Genomic DNA, 26,728 nt, shown 5'->3' with positions numbered 1-26,728 from the left:
CTAATCACTTCCCCAATGTTGTTGAAATGTGTCAATATTTGAATATATACAAACTGAGTGATTTCTACAGTTAAACCTCAAGTAGAGACCAAGATCAATAATACATTAAATTTTAATAACTTGGATTAAGTCGTGTTTGGGTTAACGATAAATATCAAAAGATAACTATTACACCTATTCCAGATAATAAATGTATTACTTTCCATAATATCTGGAATAGGTATAATAGTTATCTTTTGATAGATTCCTTGATGGAGAATCTGGTGGCAAGGGGAAGTTAACGTTTTTAGTAGGAAACTGAGTTTTTCCTTTCAGAGGTCGAAGAGGGAAACTGGTTCCCTGGGGCCCTGAATAAGGCCCCAGTAAAGGCAATATTCAATAAATACCTGGTGCTGGCAATTTTTAATTTGGTTGAGTGATGTTTTTACTCCTAGTTATTTTGATTCTAAATGACTTTATGGAGATACATGAACATATGTCCAAAGTCTTTGGACAACACTTTTCATAGCTGATTATATCCGAAGCATTTAATGTTCCTGTTGAAGTGAAGAGCTTGAAATATAGGGCCTTTTGAGACTATTCCAAAGCAGGTGATAAAAACAAAACAAAACAAAAATCCAGGAGCAAAAAACGAAGGATCAGGGTGGGTGGCTCATGATTGTAATCCTAGCAGTTTGGGAGGTTGAGGCAGAAGGATTGCTTGAGGCCAGGGGTTCGAGACGAGCGAGGGCAACATAATTTGATCCCTGTCGCTATAAAAAATTAAAAAGCTCAGCCAGGTGTAGTGACCGACGCTTGTAGTCCCAGTTACTCTGGAGGCTGAGGCAGGAGGATCGCTTGACTTTAGGAGGTCTAGGCTGCAGAGACCCATGATTGTGCCCCTGTACTCCAGGCTGGGTAACAGTGAGATCCTGTCTCAAACAAGCAAACAACTCCCACCCCTAAAAAAACGTGCACATGACCTTAAAAGTGTAGGAAGATTACATGATAAGGAGAGTCAGAGAAAAGAGAAATTAGGACAGGAAAGCACTACAAGCTATGTATGTTTATTTTATAATTGAGTCTTTAAGGGTACGGAGTATTCGTACTCAACTTGTACCCCCAGTGTCTAGTACGCTGCTTGGTAAACAGCTGGCAATCAAGAAATGTTTGCTAAATTTTAAATGAATTGATGGGGGCGGAACTTCAGAAAGTAAAGCCTGACTCGCTTTATTTCTAAGAAGGCAGAGGAAGTAAAAATCTAGTTTTCCGTACTCTGTCCCCTTTTTAATCCTTCTCTGAATGGGTGTCCTTGATTCACTGACATTTCCTAATTAACCAAGTTCTGCCAAGTTTCACATGAAACTTGGGGAACCGATTTCATTCCCCCAGTATCACCCTGTGGCGCCACCTTCCGGAGCTGTGAGGAAACTCCGGACTTCCCCCCAACACCGCCCCCTCCCTCCACCCTCGGTCTCCGCTTTCTGCGCTCTGCCGCGTTGGTTTTCGGAGGTGTCTGGGCGCATGCGCTTTGGACGGGCCGCCTAGCCTAGGAGAGACTACAATTCCCAGAAGACAGTGCGAAAGAAAAAAAAAATCCCGCGGTCCGTGGGGGTGGGAGAAATAAACGCTCGCGAGAGAACGAGGTTCAGGCGGCTGCACGAAGGGGGTGGAGGGGGGCTGGAGAGAGTGAGGAGGAAGGGGAGGAGGTGCCGTCCCACAATACCAGGCGGGAGGGCGGGTAGGCGGTTTGTATCCGGGCTGTGAGGTGCTCGGAGCCTCGGCGGACCTTGCTGCCTCTGTCTCTTTAACGCGAGAGGAAGCGATGCAGAGGGGTGGAAAATGGCAGAGCTGCAGATGTTACTAGAGGAGGAGATCCCGTCTGGCAAGAGGGCGCTGATCGAGAGTTACCAGAACCTGACTCGGGTGGCAGACTACTGTGAAAACAACTACATACAGGTGAGGCGCTCTGGCGGCCGGCGGGCGCTGGCCGGGTCGAGGACCCGCCGGAGTGACCAGCCCACTGGGCGGGGTGGGGAACTGCCCTGACCTCAGCGGCTGCCACCAACCCGAGCCCCTACCGCAGCCCCAACCCCAGCCCCAACCGGGGACAGAGCGAGTGGCCGGGCTGAGGGAGTCGGGCTGCGATACAGGAAGTGGCTGTGGTGGTGGAAACCGATAGAAGGGGAGAGAGAAAATGGGCGAGGGAGCCGGGAGCCCGCCGCTGCCGCAGCCCGGCGCCCCCCTCGCGTCCGCTTCCCCCAGGGCCCGGCCACCGGGGTCGCGCGCCCCCCAGGTAGCCTCCAGTCCGCAGGGCTGGAGTCCCGGAATACCCCCGAGCTGCCGCCGCGCCGCCTCTCTGCGCCGGGAGAGGAGGTCCAGGACGGGAGAGGGGAGAGGAGAGGGCAGGGACGAGGCTGAAGCCGCAGAAGGGAGAGGACCAGCGGGGTGTGTGTTGTGTGTCGGCGGAGGGTGGGGTGGGGGCGATTATGTCAGTTTCAGCCCCCAGAGGGTGTGTCTTTTATTTATTTATTTATTTAAAAAAAATTTGTCATGAGTCACATTACACCGACCTCCCGGAGGAGAGGAGGAAGCGGGTGTGGGGAGTGAGGGAGGGCGTTTGAGAGAAGTTCATCTTAAAATTCCTTTAATTGAAGGTTTGTAAATCTGTCTGCTTGTCCATTTTCAAGTCGGGTTTTTTTTATTTTTTTCCCCCTCTCATCGTTTTCACTTCCGCCCCACCATAATGTATTCTAAGAGGTTGTTAGGGCTGCTATCATTAATTATCAAACACGAATTGTTCTTAACTCCTTGGAAAAACGGCTTACCCTCCCTTCTCCCAAAAGTTCTTGAGCTGTAGGCTTCATAAGTAACTTAAAATAGACTGGTGTCATCGCCGGTTGCTTATTTTCTGAGGTTTCTCTCTTAACAAGCTAAGTAAATGTATAGTATGTGAATCCAAATACAGAAACGAACAGAGGTAGCCTCTGAACTACAACGTAAAAATATCTGTTATTGTAAATTAGAAAACTCTTGGGACTTTGTGACAGATGCTTGTTTGTTCGTTTCTCTTTGGATGATTGGAAGTGAATTGTGTGTGGTAGTTTGTTTTGAAGATCTTTAACTGTGTAAACCAACAGTTTGCGCTAGAAACAAAGTAGCACAGTCCTTTGTATAAATATAAAGGCACCAGGAATGCTCTTGCTTTTGGTAAGGCAAGGCCAAAACGTGCTTTGAAAGGTTAGGGTTATTGCAATTCAGAACTAAATTGTTTATAGAAATGTCTCCCATGTGATTATAATTTTTAAGAACCGATGTTTCTGTGTTGGCAAATGCTTCCCCTCTTTATTTTTAGAGGGAGATGCTGTTTTCAGAATGTTTTGAATATTTCTCAGTTTTCATGTTAGTAACATTGTATCTTCAGTAGCACTACTCGGAATTTATCTTCACAATTTTTTTTTCAAGCTTTCACTTTAGGAATTCTCCTGATAAGTGAACTTGTTGAATGCCTGCCACATCTACTGTATCACTTTGTGCAAACTTTATATTTAGCCCTTCGAAAAACTTTTAAAAATCTAGTAGGGATGTGGATATGGTTTGCAAATATAAAAGTGATCTCGTAGTTTATCGATATTAAAAATAGGCAACTTTTATTCAACTTAACATGAAAAGCCTTGAAATTGAGGAGAACCTTAATTTGCTGAAAGTTTTAAAGATTTTTGAAAGCCAAAAGGAGAGCACAGTAAGTTTAATTTCTCGCTTTCCAGAAAAGTTATGTGTTCTCTGTAGAAGTCAGTAGATAAGTGCTTCATACAGGGGTGGCTCCTTTTTGTTTTGCATGTTGGGAAATCTGACAAGTATATAGTGTGGTAACTATGTGTTGGCAACTGTTAGTAACTGTAAACGTGTTTTAACCTGTCTGTGTACTATTACTTTTTCAGGTAGTTGTATGTTGTAATGCTTTTTTTTTACCCCTCTCTGACCCCTTTCCTTTACTCCTCTTGCTACAATCATGTAACTTTGAAGCACTTTAAAACTTCATTGCTAATATCTCTAATTAAGTCATGTTATTTTTCATACAGTCTCTCACTTTATAAAATGTTAGTGCCATGGTGCACGAATAGCCACAGTCAGTGGCCCCGTTTTTTTTTTTTTTTTTTTTTTTTTTCTTTTTTTGTGGGGGCGGGGTGGGGTATAATCCTAAATCTGACACCAGTGAGGTGTTTTGTTCATATTGGAAAAAAAAAAAAAGAATTCACGCAAAGCAATGATTATCTAAATACCTTAGTAGCCTTTATACGTTGGGCTGCATGATCCAGGCCACTAGTTGCCTCCCTAAGGGACTCAGACAGGGTCAGGCTCAGAAAGTGATGTGGAAGTTGATGTGGTAGGTGGTGCTGCTGACTTTGGTGCTAAGAATGGGGAATGAATAATATTAGAAATATCCATTAGGGTGTCTGTTGAGGTCTTTCTGTATCCTTCCTGTGACCTGATTGGGTTATTTATAACTAATACTCTTCCTAAATATATATCTCTTCTCAGTGAAAGTATGCAGTTCACGTGTGCTTTGAGAATTTTTAAATAAGGTGAGCTAAGTTATTGCTTGGGTGATTTTTGTTCTGAGATTCACTTTTCATTTCGTTTTTCTACAGTTTGAAAGTGCAGTCCAGTTTAGCTAAGGTGTGTAGCTGAGAAACTCTTTTGGCTGTGGTGCATTTAAGTTCTTGCGGCAGTTTATTAGTTCTTTGGTTCTGTTGACTTTTAACTAGTAGGTTGTATTATTAATAGCAAAACATCTGAAAAGATTCTACTACATTAAAAAGGACAGTTTTTTTCTTTCTTTTTTTTTTTTTTTTTGAGACAGACTTGCTCTGTCACCCAGGCTGGAGTGCAGTGGTGTGTGAACACCATTCACTGCAGCCTTGACCTCCTGGGCTCAAGCAGTCCTCCCACCTCAGCCTCCCATGTAGCTGAGACCACAGGTATATGCAAGGACAGGGTTTTAACAGTTGCCATGGGGTAAATAATACTAAAAATAGAAAGTTTTTTTTTTTTTTTTTTTGAGACACAGTCTTGCTCTGTTGCTCAGGCTGGAGTGCAGTGATGCCATCATGGCTTACTGCAGCCTCAACCTCCTGGGCTCTGGAGATCCTCCCACCTCAGCCCCCCCAGGTAGCTGGGACTACAGGTGCGCACCACCACTCCCAGCTAATTTCTGTATTTGTTTTGTAGAGATGGGGTTTTGCCATGTTGCCTAGGCTGGTCTCAAACTCCTGGTCTCAAGCAGTCTGCCTGCCTTGGCCTCCCAGTGTGCCAGTATTACAGACATAGGCCACTGCACCTTGCCAGAAAGTGTTTTTTTTTTTTTTTTTTTTTTTTTTTTTTGAGATGGAGTCTCGCTCTATTGCCTGGGCTGGAGTGCAATGGTGCGATCTTGGCTCACTGCAACCTCCACCTCCTGGGTTCAAGCGATTCTCCTGCCTCAGCCTCTCAAGTAGCTGGGATTATAGGTGCCCACCACCACGCTTGGCTAATTTTTTGTGTTTTTAGCAGAGGCAGGGTTTCATCATGTTGGCCAGGCTGGTCTCGAACTCCTGACCTTAGGTGATCTGCCCTCCTCGGCCTCCCAAAGTGTTGGGATTATAGGTGTGAGCCACCATGCCTGGCTGAAAGTGTTTTTATATAGTCATTTATGTAGACATACAGAAGAGACTTTTCCATATTCCTTTACTATGACCAGATTGAATTTTTCATGCCAAGGACAGTGCTTAATTTGAACACACATGTTTAGCCAGTTCTCTGTGCTCTACCTTAGAGTTAGTTCATACTGCCTTTGTTATGGGAACTATTCTGGGAAATAGGAAGGAAAGCCGAGTGAAAAGGAGTAGAAACTGCTTAAGAAGGTTTGTCAGGATGCAGATTGGTAGGTTGGGGGTAAGGACAGAAAAGTCTTCATACAGCTTAACTTTAAAATTTAATTTTATTTTTTGTCTGGATTTCTACCAGGAGCTTTATTTGGGTTAACAAGTATGTTCTAAAGCCTAGGAGTATGAAGGGGATATCATCCCAGTATGTTACTGTGAGCTACTCACTTCAGCTTGCTTTCCTCCTCCTGTGACATTTGCTTCATTAGCACATTTAATCTCAGAAGGTGGGTAATTTTTGAGCAGGATCCGTTTGGAGTAGGTAAAAGCTAACATTTCTGATACTGTACACTTTATGCCAGTTTACAAACTGTGTCAGTTTTTTTTTTTTTTTTTTTTTTTTTTTTTGAGTAACAGATGGACAGTTAGAGGTTCCGAGGTATTAAATACCCAACCTAAAGTTCAGTAGCTTGTATGAGGTGGGGCCTGGAATCAAACCCAGATTTTCTCGATTCCAAATCCCAAATTCCATCTAATTAATCCTGAATGGGTTTTTTTTTTTTTTTCTTTAGACAGAGCCTTACTCTGTCACCCAGGCTGGAGTGCAGTGGCATGATCTCAGCTCGCTGCAACCTCCAAGCAATTCTCCTGCCTCAGCCTCCTGAGTAGCTGGGAATACAGGTGCATGCCACTGCACCCAGCTAATTTTTGCATTTTTAGTAGAGACAGGGTCTCACCATGTTGGCCAGGCTGATCTCGAACTCTGGCCTCAGGTGATCCACTGTCCTCAGTCTCCCATGGAGTTGGGATTACAGGTGTGAGCCACCATGCCCAGCCCAGAATGGGGTTCTTTTTTTTTTTTTTTTTTTTTGAGATGGAGTCTTGCTCTGTCACCCAGGCTGGAGTGCGGTGGCACGATCTCAGCTCACTGCAATCTCCGCCTCCTGGGTTCAAGTGATTTTCCTACCCCAGCCTCCCGAGTAGTTGAGATTACAGGTGCCCACCACCATGCCTGGCTAATTTTTGTATTTTTAGTAGAGACGGAGTTTCACCATATTGGCCAGGCTGGTCTCAAACTCCTGACCTCGGGTGATCCACCCGCCTTGGCCTCCCAAAGTGCTGGGATTACAGGTGTGAGCCACCGCACCCGGCCCTAAACAGGGTTCTTATGGCAACATAGGGGATAAAAACAATGTGCGCAGAGGGTAATAGAGAAGGGTAGAGGGTAATATAATTGCCTCTATTTATTGAATACGTACTCCATTGCAGTCTCTGCTGGTTGGTTTTGTATTATCTTTAATCCTTACAAACTCGCCACGACAGACAGTGCTGTCTTACATATGAGGAAATTAGGACTCATAAAAGTTAAGTTTTGTTTAGTCATAGAGTTAGTAATTGGCAGTCAGGACTTCCTTCTGACTCTGGCAGACTCCATAGGCTGTGCTCTTTTCATATCATACTGTTTTCACATGAAAGAATCTAGAACTCAAAACTGGTTCAGGAATACCGTGGAATAAACAGAATAGACTGGTATTGGGCAAGCCTGGGAACCTAACAACTCTTTACCATTGTTTCCAGGTTGTGAATATAAGAAGAGATATGTTTGTAATTTAGGGACTTGCCTATATCACCAAAAGATGGTAACTTTGGCATTTGAAGTGTTCAACTACAGGTTAAGTATCCTTTATTCAAAATGCTTGGGACCAGAAATGTTTCAGATTTTTTTTTGAATTTTGGAATGTTTGCATTATATACTTACTGGTTGAGCCTCCCTAATCTGAAAATCTGAAATCCAGAATAGTCTAATGAGCATTTATTTTTGTGTCATGTTGATGCTCAAGAAGTTTTGGGTTTTGGATTTCCAGATTAGGGATACTGAACCTGTATAGGAATTACAGCCTAGCTTTTCACTGAGCTCCCTGGATCCTTTTTTCTTTTCCTGCATCCTTGCCTGTCTTTTTTCTATTGTTAGTCTGTGTTGCAATTGTGCTAAGAAATTTTGAAGAAGCATTTGTAGAGATTAACAAAAAATATGTGGAAATATTCTGGGTAGATGTGATTTCTATACAAACCAGGTTTGGGGAAAAACAGTCAAAGTGATTCAGGAGATGAGGATAGACTGGAATGGTTAGAATTCCTAGAATTGCACTTTGAAGTGTGAGTAAAACAGTGACTAGCAAAGTTAGAGATGTAGGTTGGAAATGTAAATGTATTTAACAGAAGGTTAGATAATTTTATGGAAGATCCTCAGTTAATTGTTAAATCGACCCATACCATGTCATTACATGTTTATTCATGCTGTTGTGTCAAGGTGATACAGGGCTGGGTAGAGCAGGATCTGACCTAGCATATCAGTTCTTTTTTTTTCTTTTCTTTCCTTTTTTTTTTTCTTCTTTCACACCAAGTCTGTGAACCCAGCATATCAGTTCTTATGAAAGTCCATATCACATATATCAGTTCTTGCTAATACTCTCAAGGTGAGAATACTGCATATTTTTAGGACTATATAATATTTGCAAATTTGTATTAAAACTAATGTCTTCTCTTTTTTCTTTTGTGGCTTTAATACTAATAACAGCTTTATATGTAGTACTTCTGACTAGTCCTGGTCTGTTTAGAACCTCAATTTTAGCATGCTTCTGTCTTTTGGAGAGTTTTCTTAGAAAATTATTGAAATAATCTCTTAGGATACTTGCAAATTTTTCTTGTGTGCTTCTGCGTTCTCCAGTTGATTCTGATAGCTCAGGAATGCTAATAGTCCTTGTGGAAAGGAGATATTTAGGCAACTGGGGATCTGCTGTGTGACCATTTACAGTAACCTTATTTATATTCAGTGAAATTATGTCCTAAGAATTAAGACAGTTAACAGTCAAAAATATGTTAGCCAGAAAGGAAGAGTGTTCATATTGGGACAAGAGGTTGGATCAAACTCTAGGATATTGTGCAGATATAAATCTATAAAACCCATGAAAATAGTGTTGGCATGAAAAGTAAGGTAAAGGCTGGGCGTGGTGGCTCACACCTGTAATCCCAGCACTTTGGGAGGATGAGGCGGGCGGATCATGAGGTCAGAAGATCGAGACCATCCTGGCTAACATGGTGAAACCCCGTCTCTACTAAAAATACAGAAACAAAGTTAGCTGGGTGTGGTGGCGGGCATCTGTAGTCCCAGCTACCTGGGAGGCTGAGGCGGCTGAATGGCGTGAACCCGGAGGCGGAGCTTGCAGTGAGCTGAGATTGTGCCACTGAACTCCAGCCTGGCAGCCTGGGTGACAGAGCGAGACTCCGTCTCAAAAAAAAAAAAAAAAAAAAGTAAGGTAAAATTGATAGTTAATGCTAATTTTGAAGCATTTACAAAGTTTTGATTGGGAGGTTGTATATTTTTCCTAATATCATCTTGTGTTGATTGTAATATTTATTGAAATTATGGTTTGATTGTAGAAGAAATAATAGTCAAACCCCAGAACTACAAACTTTGTAGATCTTAATATTTACTAAGACATCATGTTAGAAAAAAGGGATTTTTTTTAAAAAAAAAAAAGGGCATTGTTGAGAAATAAGACAATAGGAAAGTAGCAATTACTGGATTTTTTTTTTTTTTTTTTTTGAGATGGAGTCTCGCTCTGTCACCCAGGCCGGAGTGCAGTGGTGTGATCTCGGCTCACTGCAAGCTCCGCCTCCCGGGTTCACGCCATCGATTTTGTTTTTAAAGGAAATAGTTGACGTGGTCATTTTAACAGTAAATATCCATCCCTTAGAATGGAGACTTGAGATTTGACTACTGTGTGTCAATCCAAATAAGTACTTTTAACTTTGGATCTACTAATTTTCTCCATCTACAAAATAAAACTTTCTCAGACATAGTTGGTAGTGAACCCGTGTTTATGAAGAAAATCTGTTAATGAGGGACCACACCCAGCTAATTTTTTGTAATTTTTGTAGAGATGGGATTTTGCCGTGTTGCCCAGGTTTGTCCTGAACTCCTGGACTCAAGTGATCCTCCTGCCTTGGCCTCCCGAAGTGTTGGGATTACAGGCGTGAGCCACCATGCCCGACCAGCAAAAACACATTTTTGAAAAACTTCAATTTACCTTTAATTCACTCATTTCCTGAATGCTTTATCATTAATTTTTATTAATAATTTCTACATTCTTTGACAAAATTGTATTTGGTACATTTTATTTTTCCTTCTATGGAAAGGCAAGTGTGGCACTTTTTCAGAACCCATGGGAAATTAATGCCCTCCACTTAAACATCAGAAATGTATATATTATATCATATAGAAAAAGATGTTTCCTACTACGTCAAATATTAGCAACTTAAGAGTTGTAACAACAGATGCTTATTTTATTTTATTTTTTTGAGACAGAGTTTCGTTCTTGTTGCCCAGGCTAGAGTATAATGGCACAATCTCTGCTCACCTCAACTTCTGCCTCCTGGGTTCAATCAATTCTCCTGCCTCGGCATCCTGAGTAGCTGGGATTACAGGGATGCGCCACCACGCCTGGCTAATTTTGTATTTTTAGTAGAGACAGGGTTTCTCCATGTTGGTCAGGCTGGTCTCGAACTCCCAACCTCAGGTGATCCACCCATCTCGGCCTCCCAAAATGTTGGGATTACAGGCGTGAGCCACCGTGCTCGGCCCAGATTCTTATTTTAATAAGGCAATATAGAGAAAAGAGTACATGGGTGCCATTTTATTTTTAATTTTTATGAGGGTTGGGGTCTCCTATGTTCCCCAGCTGTCCTCGTAATTCTGGGGTCAAGCGATCCTCCCATCTCAGCCTCCTGAGTAGCTGGGTCTACAGACTTTCCCCCCAAGCCCCTCCCACCATGCTCAGCTCATGGGTGTCATTTTAAAATTGATTATTACTCAAAAGTGCGCCCTCAACATAGTTAGGCAATCCCACTAGATAACCTCGCCAGTTTGTTCTTCCACTTACCACAAACTATTTTAATTTTTTTCTCCCTTTTTGAAATCTGACCCTTTCCTTTCTTGTCTTTTGGTTCATAGAGAAAATAGACTTCATCATATAAGACCTATAATTTCTTACCACTGCATCTCCAAACCTGCTATCCTCGCTCACCCTATTCTACTCCTTTTTATAATGGAAGAGAGACATTCTTCCTCCTAGCTAAAGTCCTAACTGTGGGTCATATCCTGTCCTGCCTTTTTGTAAACCTTATGCTCCTGATAAGTTTATACCTCCTCTCTTTACTGAATTTGTGCTTTCACAATTGAAACATTTCAGATCTCTGTCGTACTTGAAAACTCTTTTGACTTCATATACTCATCTAGTAACTGACCTATCTCTCCTTTATGGATTAACTAGTTTTATTACACTATTGTCAGCTAGCTGCAGTGGCTCAAGTCTGTAATCCCAGTTACTTGGGAGGTTGAGGTGGGAGGATTGCTTGAGCCCAGGAGTTTGAGATCAGCTTGGGTAACAAAGCAAGACCCTGTCTCAAAAAAAAAAAAAAAAAAAAAAAAAATTAGCTTAGTCTGTAGTCCCAGCTACTTGGCAGACTGAGGTGGGAGGATCACTTGAGCCCAGGAGTTTGAGGCTGCAGTGAGCTATGGTTGCGCCACTGCACTCCAGCCTGGGCAACAGTGAAACCCTGTCTTTTAAAATAAAAACAAAAAACCAAGCATTTTCCTCCATCTCCCACTTTTCATTCACTCTTTAACCTGTTCTATTTCCACTGCTCTCTGAATGCTAATAACCTCCATGTTGCAAAATTCTTTCCCATTTTAGTTCTCATGTGCTTTTTTTCTCTGCATCATTTTGCATGGTTGGTTTTTCCTACTTTTTTTGAGAAGTTAATCCTTTGGCTTCTCTGATAGACCTTTCTTTCATGCTTTTCCTATTACTCTCTGGCCCATTATTCTCTGTTACTATTAAGTATTAAAGTGGCTTCATTTGGGCTCTTTTCTACACATCTCACCTCAAGCTGTTTTATTTATTCCCATCTAAATCTCTAGATTAGATCTTTCTTCTGTTGAGGTTTAGATTCATATATCTAATAACCTACTTGACCCCTCCGCTTGTTTGAATCACAGGTGCCTCAGACATAAGATGCTAGCAACTGAACTCAACACCTTCCTCTAAACCTATCACTACCAACCACCCACTCACTGAAAACCTGGGCATCATTCTTTTCTTTTCTTTTTTTTTTTTTTTTTGAGACGGAGTCTCACTCTGTTGCCCAGGCTGGAGTGCAATAGCGCGGTCTTGGCTCACTGCAACCTCTGCCTCCCAGGTTCAGGCAATTCTCCTGCCTTAGCCTCTTGAGTAGTTGGGACTACAGGCATGTGCCACCACACCTGGCTAATTTTTGTATTTTTAGTAAGGACAGGGTTTCACCGTGTTGGCCAGGCTGGTCTTGAACTGCTGACCTCGTGATCTGCCTGCCTTGGCCTCCCAAAGTGCTGGGATTACAGGCGTGAGCCACCACACCTGGCCGAGAACGTTTTTTAGGCGGGTTCTATCTGTTAGCATTTACTGTACTAAAACTAAAACTGAGCAGTTTAAAACATTCATTTAAAGGGATATCTAATGTGTTTATTATTAACATAAATAATGTTTTATGAAAAATGTAACCTTAGTTTTCCAAAACAAAAATGTTTAGGGCAAGAGTAACATTATTTTACATTATTGCATCTCAGTGAAAAATAAATGGCAACAAAATTCTTATATCTGCTTCTGCAGTTAATCTGTTCATTTTGTTTTGGTTGAAGTATATGAAGGAAATCTGTCCTCACACAGTTGTGTAGTGGAAAAAGGGGGACTATTGTAATAGGCTGTGCACATAATTGTGGATGATTTTCTTTGATACAACAACAAAACTTGGTAGATGGTAGTTTCTTAAAGGTTAGTTACAGTGTGGACTCTGAAACTATATCAATAAATATTTTATACTCCATTACTTTAAAATACATTGCATAGGCCATTTGGAAAATATTTTTCACTGAGTTATGCAGACCTTCTGAATGTTGACACATTTCATTATACAATGTGAAAAAATTGCAATCACTAATATTAACACAGATCTCACTAGAAGAATTTTCAAGTATTGCAAAGCTTGCAAGTTCACATTGATGGATTCAAGTTTTCCAAGATCCCAGTTTTTGCTTGAAAGCTTGAATTTTATTATTGGCAACAAATATTACCAGTTATTTTCCTTGAAGTATTAGGCTTACTTTATTCATTTTTAGGAAAATGTCTGCCAAATGCTCAAGTCTAAATAATCTTAGTTTACCTATCAGTTGTTTTTGAAGTAATAATGGTGTTCCATGAACAATTGGCTTATTCAGCTTGCAAATAAACTGCACAAGTGCTTTTTCCTAACAGGAGCCATCATACTTAGTATGTAGCAGAAGTACTGTATGTGTACTTCCATTTTGTCGTATACAATATTAAAAGACATTTTCTCAAGGGTCAAGATTTAATAGAATTAATAAATTTTCCTGCTTCATCAAGAACATTTTAAAGTGAAACCGGCTTTTTTAAACCTTTTTCTTTTTTTTTCTGTGGATGGTTGGCAGTAAAGAACACAATGAGTACTAGTATCGTCTGTGACATTGCCTTGATTACCTCTAAGAGGCTATTGTAATTTTATTTACCTTTGTTTTTGTACCTTCAATTCAAATGTCAACTCAGGAAAGAAAGCAAATAACATTAGTAGTATTATAAAAATAATTTAGACCTCGTGGACCCCCTGTAAAGGTCTTAGGAATCCTCAGGGGTCTGCAGAACACACTAGACAACATTTGGGATAGATGATTGGTTCAGTAGACTTAATACCTTCCTTTTGTGCTAATGGGAGTCTGAATTTTAAATATCATTGTATACTACTATGTATATTGAGCATCCCTGACTAATGTAGTTGCCATTAAAATAAAAAATGTAAAGTTTCTTATGGAGAAAGTCTTGGCCGGGCGTGGTGGCTCATGCCTGTAATCCCAGCACTTTGGGAGGCCAAGGTGAGTGGGTCACCTGAGGTCAGGAGTTCGAGACCAGCCTGGCCAACATGGTGAAATCCCGTCTCTACTAAAAATACAAAAATTAGCTGGGCGTGGTGGCACATGCCTGTAATCCCAGCTACTTGGGAGACTGAGGCAGGAGAATCACTGGAACCTGGGAGGCAGAGGTTGCAGTGAGCTGAGATGGTACCATTGCACTCCAGCCTGGGTGATAGAGCGAGACTCTGTCTCAAAAAAAAAAAAAAAAAAAAAGCCTCTTCTTATATTGCATACTGTGCTAATTATTTTGGTTCTTAATATTTGGGTCTTACTGCTCTGTACAATTCACCTTTCACTAGTACTGATTTTGAAACTGATTTGCTGCTAAAAGTTTCATAAATCTGTTATCTTCAAATTTCATACCAAAAATTTAGTAATTTGTTGATATGAATTTATTTGATTCATAGGCGGTTTTAAAATTAAATGATTTTTAGGAAGTAGTGAGAAATAATATTTTTAATTTTAAAATGATATAACAATCATTCATTTCTAATTTGAGTATGTTCCAAATTAGATGTGAAGAAATCTCTTGTTATTATCCATGGCATGTATCACTTTGGTACTAATATATTTACATCTTCTTCTTCTTCTTCTTCTTTTTTTTTTTTTTTTTTTTTTGAGACAGGGTCTCGCTCTGTTGCCCAGGTTCTGGAGTGCAGTGGCACGATTACTGTTCACTACAGCCTTGAAATCCTGGGCTCAGGTCATCCTCCCACCTCAGCCTCCCAAATAGCTGGAATTACAGGTGTGCCACCGTGCCCAGCTAATTTTTTGGGTATTTTTTATAGAGACAGGGTTTTGGCATGTGGTCCAGTCTGGTCTTGAACTCCTGAGCTCAAGCAATCCTCCTGACTCGGCCTCCCAACGTAGCAATCCTCCTGACTCGGCCTCCCAACATGTGAGCCTCCCAGGTGTGAGCCACCAGGTCTGGCCCAACATCTTAAAAAATAAGAATAACCCAACTGAAGTGGGAGAAAAGGACAAAAAACAGAGGGTACACTTTTTGTTTTAGTTGTTTCTCTGGCATTTTCCCCCTTTTATTATATACATTTTATGTTTTCCATGAAAAAAGGCTTTGCATTTATCTTTTCCTCTGTTAAATAATATCTCTTTTAAAAGGTTTGAGAAGCCTATTTTTTTTCAGTTCCATCTTCCCTTAAAATTAATAATAATCAAATTTTGCTTGTTTTTTTTAAAGACAGGGTCTCTCTCTGTTGCTCAGGCTGTAGTACAGTGGTGCGATCTCAGCTCACTGCAGCCTCAACCTCCTGGGCTCAAGCAATCCTCCCACCTCACCTCCCAAGTAGCTGGGACTACAGGTGTGCACCATCACGCTTGGCTAATTTTTGTTATTTTTTTGTTAAGGACAGGGTTTCACCATGTTTTCCAGGCTGGTCTTGAACTCCTGGGGTCAGGGGATCTGCCTACCTTGACCTCCCAAAGAGTTAAGATTACCGGCGTGAGCCACCATGCCTGGTCCTCAGAGTTTGCTTTGAATAGTGGGAAGACAAACTGGTGATAACTCTTATTCTTTTAGAATAATCAGATAATACCATAAAGATCCCAAAGAAAACTGGCAAAATTGTATAGGCTCCCAAGTTGGAACCACAGGAGTTCCAAAAGGAATGCACAGTAAAATGAAATATATTTATAATTATATGTATTGTGCTTCTTAGTATGACAGAGTATATTAGTTTGTCACATACTCAGTTATTCTGCGACTTTTTACACGTATTATGTGTCAGACTGTTTTGTCAATCAGATACAGTTTCTACCCTCAAGTGATTTTATAGTTGGCCTCCTCCATTAATCAAATAACTCAAACTATAATAAATTACATCTAGGGAAGGTACATGTGACATGAAAGTATACATCAGGTGCTGCCACCTAGCTTGGTGTGTCATAGAAGTAATGTTGGAGTTGAGATCTGAAGGGTGAATATATGTTAACCGAGAACATTTGGGGGAAGGGAAAACAGTGTCTCTGTGGAGGGGAGAGCAGCATGTGTACAGGCTCAAAGGTAAGAGTGAAGGCAGAGTGATTTTGAACAAGTTACACACTTGTGTACTTCAGAGTAAACAGAGTCATCTGTGAAGAGGTAGGTAGGTACCAGATAAGGATTTTGATCTTTTTTTTTGTCTGAGGCTGATGAGAAGGCATTGAAAGTTTTAAGCAAGGCTGGGCGCAGTGGCTCCTGCCTGTAATCCCAGCACTTTGGGAGGCCAAGGTGGGCCCATCGCTTGAGGTCAGGAATTTGAGACCAGTCTGGCCAACATGGTGAAACCCCGTCTCTACTAAAAATACAAACATTAGCCAGACATGGTGGTGCTTGCCTGTAGTCCCAGCCACTCAGGAGGCTGAGGCAGGAGAATCACTTGAACCTGGGAGGCGGAGGTTGCAGCGAGCTGAGAGCACGCCACTGCACTCCAGCCTGGGCAACAGAGTGAGACTCTGCCTCAAGAAAAAAAAAAAAAAAGAAAAGAGAAAGAAAGTTTTCAGCAATGGGATGATATAATTTTTACTTTTTATGAAGTTTACTCTTGTTTAGAGTGGAGAACAGATTGGAAGGAGGATTGACTACAGATTGGAAGGAGTTCAGAACAGATTGGAGGGTGGCTAGTCTAGAGGTGATGGTAGCAATTGGTGATGGTTTTTCTAAAATCTTTTTTTTTTTTTTGAGACGGAGTCTCACTCTGTCGCCCAGACTGGAGTGCAGTGGTGTGATCTCAGCTCACTGCAACCTCTACCTCCCAGGTTCAAGCAAGTCTCTCTGCCTCAGCCTCAGTAGCTGGGATTACAGGTACCCACCACCGTGCCTGGCTACTTTTTGTATTTTTTTGTAGAGACGGGGTTTCACCATGTTGGCCAGGCTGGTATTGAACTCCTGACCTCAGGTGCTCTGCCTGCCTCGGCCTCCCAAAGTGCTGGGATTACAGGCATGAGCCACTGTGCTTGTCCATTTTTTCTAAAATCTTCAGTGCCTGAACTCATCATGGTAGACTGTGACTATTATTTTTCTTTTCTAAAAAGAGGAGTATTTGAGGCTATTGGGATTTGTTGAACTGAAATAGAGAAAGATTCATTCAACAAATAGTTAATTGCCTACTCTATGGAAGACTGTCTGTTAGGTATTATGATGTGGTGGTATGATGTCTATATTATTATTATTATTTTTGAGACAGAGTTTCGCTCTTGTTGTCCAGGATGGAGTGCAATGGCACGATCTTGGTTCACTGCAACCTCCACCTCCCGGGTTCAAGTGATTTTCCTGTCTCAGCCTCCCAAGTAGCTGGGATTACAGGCACATGCCACCATACCCAGCTAGTATTTGTAGCTTTAGTAGAGATGGGGTTTCATCATATTGGTCAGGCTGGTCTCGAACTCCTGACCTCAGGTGATCCGCCCGCCTCAGCCTCCCAAAGTGCTGCGATTATAGGTGTGAGCCATCATGCCCTGCTTTGTGTCTATATTATTTATAAGCTATGTAGAAATCACTGAAAAGCCTTAAATCTAAGAAAAAGAAAATTGGTCTATAGTATGTATAGTTAAATGAGGAAATGTTCTGTATGGAAGAAAAATAATTGTTATTTTTGAAAGGGTTTTGATTTTAGTTTGGGCAGTCAGAAGTTTGCTTATGGAAAGAGAATATGTCAAGCAGCTTTTTTTTTTTTTAAAGCATTTAGGTAATATGTTCCTATAAAAGGGTCAATACAGTTGTATTAAAAGTCAAACCTAAAATGTCTCTTCTTCTTCTCCCCATACTGCTATTATCCTCTCCCCTCAAACTGTATGCTTGTTTTCTGCCTTTCCAGTTTTTGTACAAAGGATGTGCTTTGGGAAGATTCATCTTACATTGGTACGGGATGGATTGGAGAAGGGAGAGACTGGATGGACAGTGACCAGTTAGAGGACTGTCACATTTGTCTCACTGTAAAGAGTATTTCATGAATTGAGATAGCTGTAGTAAGATTGAAAAGGAAGATAAGAATCAGCAAGCCTTGGTGAAGGAGATATGGGTGGCTGCGGGAAAAGGAGAACCCAAAGAAGGCTTATTTAACCGGTATCTATTTTCCCCTAGCATAAAGCTAATGCGCCTACAGAAGGTAATTTGCAGTCACAGAAGTGAATCTATAGACCCCCTCTTTTTCAGCTGTTAGTACACAGTTGGTTTCTGACACTTTCCAGCTTTTACTCCTCCACAATTGAATTGATTGGCAGAGCAGTGGGTTGGAGAATAGGAATAAAGCTTGACTGCTAGCTGGCTGCGTGGGCAGAACAGGGAAGGGAAGAGGGAAGAGGAGAGGAAAGGGATTCCAGTTTCTCTGGCTATATACTGTTGTGGCATGAGGTGCATGTCTTTTGATGTTAATTTTGATGTTCTATCATAACCTTCTGCATTACAGATTGTTGGTATTTTTATATGTGTAGTCTTTATAAATTTCAAATACATATGACGTGGGTTGAAAATGATCTCTTTTTGAAAGGAACTTTTAGAGAGAATTCTAAGGAACAGTAGTGTTTGGGGGTTCTCAGGCAAAGTTTCTCCTAAAGAATGAGTTTAGCCGAGTCATTAATTTAAAGAGTTGAGGGGAAGGGGGATTGGGAGGCAAGGGATATATATAGGTAGTAGGAACAGAAAGATAGCAAGGCATGTTTGGGAGAGCTGTGAGTAGTGTCAAGTGCCAGGGAAGGTGGAGGAGATGAAGTCTTAGTCAAAAACATACTTGAACTGCTGTCACTAAACTGTAGAAGATCGGATCAGTGTTTCCCAGATTTGAAAATAGAAACCGTGTTTTAAATTTAACACTGGTAAGATGAAATTGTGCTTTTGCTATGTCCTGACATATTCTGTTCATTTGTCTAGACACGTTTGGCATAATCAACAGAAACCACTGGATGAGTGGTTAAATATAAGATAAATGAGTTATAGGTCTGAATCAATCACTTTTGTATGAGCTAATTGTCATAACTTGGGGACTGCTTGTATGAGTGGCTTTATTGTTAGTGTTTATTAATGTCTTGTGGTATATAGAGCTATTTTTTTTTTCAACTCAATTGGGTATTTCTTCCACCCATCCTACCTCTCCTACCTTGCCCCACTACCACAAAGAAGAAGAAGAAAGGCAGCATGGTACTATCTCTATGAAAATCCTGCCACTCTCATTTTTGCTTTTTGGGTGAGGAGGTACGGTGCTGCAAGGTGGGAAGAATGTGTGATATATTAATATTTACATCACTGAGGAGAATTGCAATACATTCCTTTTATAGTCACATGGAAGTTTTAGGAAAAGCTTTGCTTCTACATATATATATATATATATATATATATATATTTTTTTTTTTTTTTTTTTTTTTTTTTTTTTTTGAGACGGAGTCTTGCTATGTCATAAAGGCTGGAGTGTGGTGGCATGATCTCAGCTCACTACAACCTCCGCCTCCAAGGTTCAAGCGATTCTCCTGCCTCAGCCTCCCAAGTATCTGGGACTACAGGTGCATGCCACCACACCCCGGCTAATTTTGTATTTTTTAGTGGAGACAGGGTTTCACTGTGTTGGCCAGGCTGGTCTTGAACTCCTGACCTCAGGTGATCTGCCCACCTCATCCTTCCAGAGTGCTGGGATTACAGGTGTAAGCCACCATGCTGGACCCCACCAAGATATTTTGACCTATGGATACTATAAATCATATAATCTTTTTTCCTTTATCTTTGTGGATTCATGCAAAAGCCAGAGCCAAACTTGTGGCTCTAATTTATTATTTATTTATTTACTTTTTAAGATGGAGTCTTGCTCTGTCGCCCAGGCTGGAGTGCAGTGGCTAGATCTTGGTTCACTGCAGCCTCCTCCTCCCGGGTTCAAGCAGTTCTCCTGCCTCAGCTTCCCGAGTAGCTGGGACTATAGGTGCACACCACCATGCCCGGCTAATTTTTATATTTTTAGTAGAGGTGAGGTTTCACCATGTTGGCCAGGATGGTTTGATCTCCTGACCTTGTGATCCACCCTCCTCGGCCTCCTAAAGTGCTGGGATTACAGGCGTGAGCCACTGCGCCTAGCCTCTTGTGGCTCTAATTTATTATGTAGTACTCTGTGGTCTGTATATTAATGTCTTGCCTTTATCTTTTATATTATATGGTAAAACCCTGATTTTTGTATTTTGAATTTTCTTGTTTAATTGTACACATTTTTGTACTGGTATATCAATAGCTAATGGCCTCTCCCCAGACCAATGAAATTGGCATCTTTTTAGGGGGAGAGGGTTAGATTGGGTCTCAGGCTCTGGAATTTTTTAAAAAGCTCACCAGATAGTGCTGGTGTCCAGCTAGAATTTTCTTTTTGGATTCCACACTAAAAGCTTAGGCCATAAAAGCAAAAATAAATAAATGGAATGACGTCAAACTGAAAAGCTTCTTCAAAACAAAGGAAACAATCAACAAAATGTAACAACCTATGGTCTGGGAAAACATATTTGCAAACCATTTATCTGATAAGGGATTAATATCTAAAATTCATGAAGAACTCATATAATTCAATAATAGAAAAATAATCTGATTAGAAAATGGGCAAAAGACTTGAACAGATGTTTTTTCAAAGAAGACATAAGGATGGCTGACAGGTATATGAAAAGGTACTCAACAGCATTAGCCATGCAGAAATGCAGATCAAAACCACTGTGGGCGTCACCTCACACCCCTTAGGGTGGCTGTCATAAAAAAGTGAAGTGATAACAAATGTTGGCGAGGGTGTGGAGAAAATGGACCCCTTGTACACTGTTGGTGGGAGTGTGGATTGGTACAGCCATGATGGAAAATAGTATGGAGGTTGCTAAAGAAATGAAAAATAGAAGTACTATATGACCCAGCAATTCCTTATCGGGCATATACCTAAAGGAAGTGAGATCACCTTATAAAGATATCTGCACTCCCATGTTCATTGCAGTGTTATTTACATTAGCCAAGCTGTGGAAACAACCTGAATGTCCACTGATAGATGAATGGATAAAGAACATGTGATATGCATATATAATGGAATATTATTCAGCCTTAAAATGCAGATACTGCCATTTGCCACAACATGGATGACCTGGAGGCAGTATGCTGAGTGAAATAAGCCAGACACAGGAAGACAAATATTGCATGATCTCATATGTGGAATCTTAAAAAAAATAAAAAAAAAGAGTCAAATATACAGAGTGAATAAAAGAGTGGGTTACCAGGAGCAAGTGGGTGGGGAATGGGAAATGTAGGTGAGGGGTAAGAAAATAGCAAGTATGTAGGATGAAAGAGCCTAGAGATCTAATGTGTAACATGTAGCTAATAAGAGGACTGTAGCTAATAAAATTGTACTATATTTGGAATTCCTGCTAAATGAATAGATTTTTAGCTGTCCTTGCCACAAAAACAAACCAAAAAAAAAAAAAAAAGGTAACTATGTGGGTTGATATATATGTTAATTTGCTTCACTGCAGTAACCATTTTGCTTTCTATATGAATCCCATAACATCATGTTGTATGCTTTAAATATATACAATAAAATTTATTTAAAAAATGAAATAAAATATATGGTTGATATAAAAAGAATAAAAGCTCACCAGGTAGTGCTGATGTCCACCTAGAGTTGAGAATCACTTTTCTAGAGCAAGAGTGGGCAGGTGTTTCCTGTAAAGGGCCAGATAGTAAATATTTTAGGCTTTGCATGCCATATGGTCTGACACAATTACTCAACTCTGCTATTGTAGTAAGAAAACCATAGATGATATGTAAGGAATGGATGTGGCTATGTTTTAGTAAAATGTTATTTGCAAAAATGGGGAGAAGTATTTGGCCTGAGCAGGGACATAGTTTCTTGATCTTTGTTATACAGCCTGAATTTTAATTACTATGCTAGAATCTAATGGTAGTGGTTGATGATGGACCAAAACTGTATTGGTGTGGCCCATATACTGAGGTGAATGCCTTTTTAAAAATGCTTTTGTATCCTGTTAATTGGTGTTTAGATTTCTAAGTGATTAAATTACCTATTTGCCTGGGATCTGATGTGATAATTTATTAATAAATTATTATTTTTTGTCTCTTGTTTCTGTGTGAACAGAATATCCCTTTGTTCACATCTCAGATTTTTTGGAATAGCAGTAGCATAGAAAATTCAATTGATTACAGTAGAGATTAATTGATACTTACAGTTTTGTAAGTTTTATACTCTTCCAGAATAGATTAAGAAATTAGGATACACGTAATTTGTCAGGTAGTGTCATACTGGTCCTGATTTTTGATTTGGAAAATGTGATTAATGAATCACTAGGCTGGAGATAGCTAAGACTATTCTGTGAAACTGTGTTGTAAGCTGGTTTAAGTGAGTGTCTTAGTCTGTTTGTGTTGCTACAAAGGAATACTTCAGGCTGGGTAATTTATTTGACTTGTGGTTCTGCAGACCGTATAAGAAGCATGGTGCCAACATCTGCTTCTGATGAGTGCTTCAAGTTGCTTCTACTTGTAGCTGAAGGGAAGGGAGCTGACATTTGCAGAGATCACTTGGCAAGAAGCAAGGTGGGGAGGTGCTAGACCCTTTTAAACAACCAGCCCTTTGGAAGTAGTAGAGCAAGAATTTACCTGAGGACCCCAAGCCATTCATGAGGGATCCTCCCCCATAACCCAGACACCTCCCATTAGGATCCACCTCCAGCATTGGGGATCATATTTCAACATGAGGTTTGAGGGGACAAACATCTAAACTACAGCAGTGAGGAAATACAATCGATGGAAGGACAAGGTACTTTTGCTAGTATTCATAGAATCTTGAATTTGTTTTTTTTGTTTTTGTTTTTGTTTTTTTTGATACAGGATCTCTCTATGTCACCCCGGCTGGAGTGCAGTCGTGTGATCATAGCTCACTGTGGTCCCAAAGTCCTGGGTTCCAGCAGTTCCCTTGCCTTAGCCTTCCAAGTTGTTGGGACTACAGGCACGTGCTACCATTTTTGCCATCTTTACCATCTTTAAAGTGCAAACTTTAAAGATTTATTTATTTTTATTTTTTCTGTAGAGACATGGTTTTGCTGTGTTGCTGTGTCTGCTCTCAAACTCCTGGCCTCAGGTAATCCTCCTACCTTGACCTCCCAACGCATTGGGATTACAGGTGTGAGCCACCAAGCCTGGCATGTTTTTTTTTTTTTTTAAACAGAAGTACTTCTTTTTCTCAAGTCAGTTAAGGGTGGTGCTGATTGTGACAGTGTTAACTACCACCCTACCTAGTAGTTTGTTAAAAGATGCATTATACTGCTTAAGTAATTTCCTAGTAAAGTTACCTTTTTTTCCCCTTATTTTTGTTTTTGAGACAGGGTCCTGCTCTGTCGCCCAGGCTGGAGTGCAGTGGCATGATCTCGGCTCACTGCAGCCTCAACCTCCTGGGCTCAAGCAGTCCTCCCACCTCAGCCTCCCCAGTAGCTAGGACTATAGGCTCATGCCACCATGCCTGGCTAATTTTTATATTTTTGTAGAGATGAGGTTTTGCCATGTTCTCCAGGCTAGTCTCGAACTCCTTAGCTCAAGCAATCCACTTTCCTCAGCTTCCCAAAGTGCTGGGATTACAGGTGTCAGCCACCATACCTGGCTAGTTAAATTTATTTGGGCATGAATTAAAGATGTGGTTTTGTCACTTCAGTGAAGGATAACCTAGAAACGTGTTAAATGTTTAATTTTTGTTTCTTCCATTTATAGAACCCTATGTGTAGAACATCAATTGTTTCATAGATCAAAAACATGCTCAGTTATCCTGAGAACATTTACTTTCTCAGTCTCCGCTCTTTACCCTCCCAGTGAATTAAAATTCATGCGGTATGCAGAGTAGTTAATGATGACTTGGAGTGGTTCATCATAGAGGCCACATTAGAATTATACTTTGTTCATTTTTAGAATTATAAATGGAGGCAGTGTGGCATAGTGGCAGACCGTGGTCTTTGGGAGACGTAGCGGTTCTATTCTTCCTAGCAGTGTTATCTTGGGCAAGTTATTTAACCACTACAAATTTCTTTTTCCTCATTGTTTGCTAGGCTAAGTGGGATATTTCACTTAAAGATGTCTTTCTTGTTTATGTGTCACAGAATACATATTGCAACAGAATCCTTGTCTCCTTTTTTGTGGCCTCTGATTTCCACAATCTAGTTTATAAAACTGCAGCTGAAGTGATGTTTCTAAAGCCTGAAACTAGTCATATTTTTTCTTCCTAAAAATTCTTTAGTGTTTCCCCACTAGACTTACAATGAAATCCACATTCCCTAAAATGCTCTCAAGGGCCTATAGTATTTCTGGAGCCTTGTGGTATATTCCCCCATTGGGTCTACTGTCGTAGGCTTACTCACCTTTAAACAGATACTGTTCATTTCATTCTGCTTGGAACCCTGTCCTCTGCTCCTTCCTCTTCCCTTTCCCTAAACTGATTCTGATGTTTAGAACATTAGGTAAAATGAAGTTCCCATACCTCAGGTGCATGTGAAAGATTAAGAGTTGGCCGGGTGCGGTGGCTCATGCCTGTAATCCCAGCACTTCGGGAGGCTGAGGTGGGTGGATCACGAGGTCAGGAGTTCCAGACCAGCTTGGCCAAGATGGTGAAACCCTGTCTCTACTAAAAATACAAAAATTAGCTGGGTGTGGTGGCGGTCACCTGTAATCCTAGCTACTCAGGAGGCTGAGGCATTAGAATCGCTTGAACGCAGGAGATGGAGGTTGCAGTGAGCTGAGATTGTGCTACTGTACTCTAGCCTGGGTGACAGAGCAAGACTCTCTCTCAAAAAAAAAAAAAGTAATAAGATTAAGAGTTGTGTAAAGATCAGTATCAGTGAGCTTTCATTAGTGCCTTCATCTGTGAAACCAAGATACCTGCTTAGGTTACTATGTGAAAATGCTTTGAAAACTAAGCTGGGTGTGGTGGCTCATGCCTCTAATCTCAGCACTTTGGGAGGCCAAGGCAGGTGGATCACTTGAGGCCTGGAATTTGAGACCAGCCTGGGCAACATGAGGAAACCCTGTCTCTACTAAAGATACAAAAATTAGCTGGGTGTGGTGGCACCCACCTGTAATCCCAGCTACTGAAGAGGCCGAGGCATGTGAATTGCTTGAAACTGGGAGGCAGAATTGCAGTAAGCTGAGATGGATTGCACCACTGCACTCTAGCCTGGGCAGCAGAGTGAGACTCTGTTTCAAAAACAAAAACACCAGAAAAAGAAAATTAAATACTAATTATATGTAACTGTTAACAGTATTGCCGTCAAGTATTTGTAAGAAGACATCATTTCCTAATGTTTGAAGTTAAAGATTATTCTAATTGTGAATAGAATTGTGTCCCCCTGCCATCCTTATGTTGAAGCCTCAAACCCGTCTCCCCCACCATGTGACTGTGTTGGAGCTAGGGCCTTTAAGGAGGTGAATATGGTTAAATGAGGTCATAAGGCTGGAGCCCTGATCCCATAGAGCTAGGGTACTTATAAAAGAGGAAATGACAACAGAGATTGGTCTCTCTCTGCCATGTGAGGACACAGCGAGAAGGTGGCTGTCTGCAAGCCAAGAAGAAATCCCTTGCTAGAACCAGAACCTACTGGAACCTTGATTGTGGACTTCCTGGCCTTCAGAACTGTGAGAAAATACATTTCTCTTGTTGAAGCCATGCAGTCTGTGGTATTTTGTTAATGGCAGCCCAAGCCGACTGTATATTTAATACAGTTTAAAATATAATTGCCTTGTGGGAAAGGCAAACTAGAGTGATTTCTCAGGTAACATTTTAATGAGTAACATAACCAGCTATAAATTACTGGACTAGTTTAGAAAACAGCCTCAGTAATTTGAGAATTACTTTAGTAGATCTTTTGTCTGTGTAACTAGGGGGTATTATTATAAATTGTTACTTTCTGGTTCAGCCAAGACCCTTTTTATGAAAGTACTTTCTCCTCCCATATAAAAGTTAAATCATTTAGGGTGTATTTGGCTATAAGTAATACAACTCAGTTAACTTAAACAGTAAGGAGCATTTATTATTTCATGTAACAAATTCCAAGGTAGGAATTTAGGGTTAGAGTTAGGGTTAATTCTTCAGCTCAGTATCATCAAGGATTCACATTCTTTACATTTTCACCCTCAGTTTTGGTGGGGTGGTAGGGAGGTACTATTAGCCTTATTCTTAGTTTCCTGGTATCTGCAAGATGGTTGCAACAGAAATGTTACGCGGCTATTGTGGATCATTTGGAAAATGTCACAAGAGGGAAAGGATGAAAACATAAATCACTCATAATCCAACTATTTACATGCCTATCTTCTCATTGTCTGGCATATTAGTTTGTACAGGTACTAATTATATCAGACAAAATTAGGTCACACTGTTTACACAAATACATGTTGTCGGTTTCCACTAAGATACTATCAAGAGGTCAGGCGTAGTGGCTCACGTCTGTAATCCCAGCACTTTGGGAGGCTGAGGCAGGTGGATTGCCTGAGGTCAGGAGTTCGAGACCAGGCTGGCTAACATGGTGAAACCCTGTCTCTACTAAAAATACAAAAAATAGCCAGGTGTGGTGGCGCACGCCTGTAGTCCCAGCTACTCGGGAGGCTGAGGCAGGAGAATCGCTTGAACCTGGGAGGTGGAGGTTGCATTGAGCTGAGATTGCGCCACTACACTGCAGCCTGGGTGACAGAGCAAGACTGTGTCTCAAAAAAACAAAAAACAAACAACAAAAAAAGATACTATCAAGAGAATTATCCATGTCATTAAAATTCTCAGTAAAAATAGGCTGGGCACAGTGGCTCATGCTTGTAATCCTAGCAGTTTAGGAGGCTGAGGCAGGAGGATTCTTTGAGTTCAGGAGTTCGAGACCAGCCTGGGCA

The 26,728-nt window shown here is 40.9% G+C and overlaps 1 protein-coding gene across 30 annotated transcripts in view, besides 4 other annotated features; it reads left to right on the top strand.

Annotated features, from left to right (window-relative positions):
- Positions 1,485-1,684: an enhancer, noted in NCBI's record as "active region_3176". NCBI's record gives its function as "activates an Ori minimal core promoter by ATAC-STARR-seq in GM12878 lymphoblastoid cells {active_cell/tissue: GM12878}" and the evidence as "EXISTENCE:reporter gene assay evidence [ECO:0000049][PMID:35858748]".
- Positions 1,727-26,728, top strand: part of ABI1 (abl interactor 1) — a 114,363-nt gene continuing 89,361 nt past the window's right edge. For 29 of the 30 annotated variants that reach the window (NR_145410.2, XR_007061931.1, NM_001178125.2 and 26 more), the window contains exon 1: positions 1,727-1,938. Coding sequence is in view for 28 of the 30 variants with exons in the window: in NM_001178125.2 (NP_001171596.1) it covers positions 1,822-1,938 (117 nt within the window). In the remaining 2 variants the exon portion in view is untranslated. Of the gene's footprint in view, positions 1,939-22,901; positions 22,953-26,728 lie in introns of all 30 variants that reach the window. The other variant, NM_001178116.2, reaches the window with a different exon arrangement.
- Positions 2,005-2,094: a silencer, noted in NCBI's record as "silent region_2242". NCBI's record gives its function as "represses an Ori minimal core promoter by ATAC-STARR-seq in GM12878 lymphoblastoid cells {active_cell/tissue: GM12878}" and the evidence as "EXISTENCE:reporter gene assay evidence [ECO:0000049][PMID:35858748]".
- Positions 2,205-2,354: a silencer, noted in NCBI's record as "silent region_2241". NCBI's record gives its function as "represses an Ori minimal core promoter by ATAC-STARR-seq in GM12878 lymphoblastoid cells {active_cell/tissue: GM12878}" and the evidence as "EXISTENCE:reporter gene assay evidence [ECO:0000049][PMID:35858748]".
- Positions 4,304-4,353: a silencer, noted in NCBI's record as "silent region_2240". NCBI's record gives its function as "represses an Ori minimal core promoter by ATAC-STARR-seq in GM12878 lymphoblastoid cells {active_cell/tissue: GM12878}" and the evidence as "EXISTENCE:reporter gene assay evidence [ECO:0000049][PMID:35858748]".

The sequence above is a fragment of the Homo sapiens genome, chromosome 10 (genome assembly GCF_000001405.40).
Source record: "Homo sapiens chromosome 10, GRCh38.p14 Primary Assembly".
NCBI classification, from domain to species: Eukaryota; Metazoa; Chordata; class Mammalia; order Primates; family Hominidae; genus Homo; species Homo sapiens.
The sequence above is the reverse complement of the archived record's forward strand: the minus strand, read 5'-3'. Positions and strand labels throughout refer to the sequence as shown.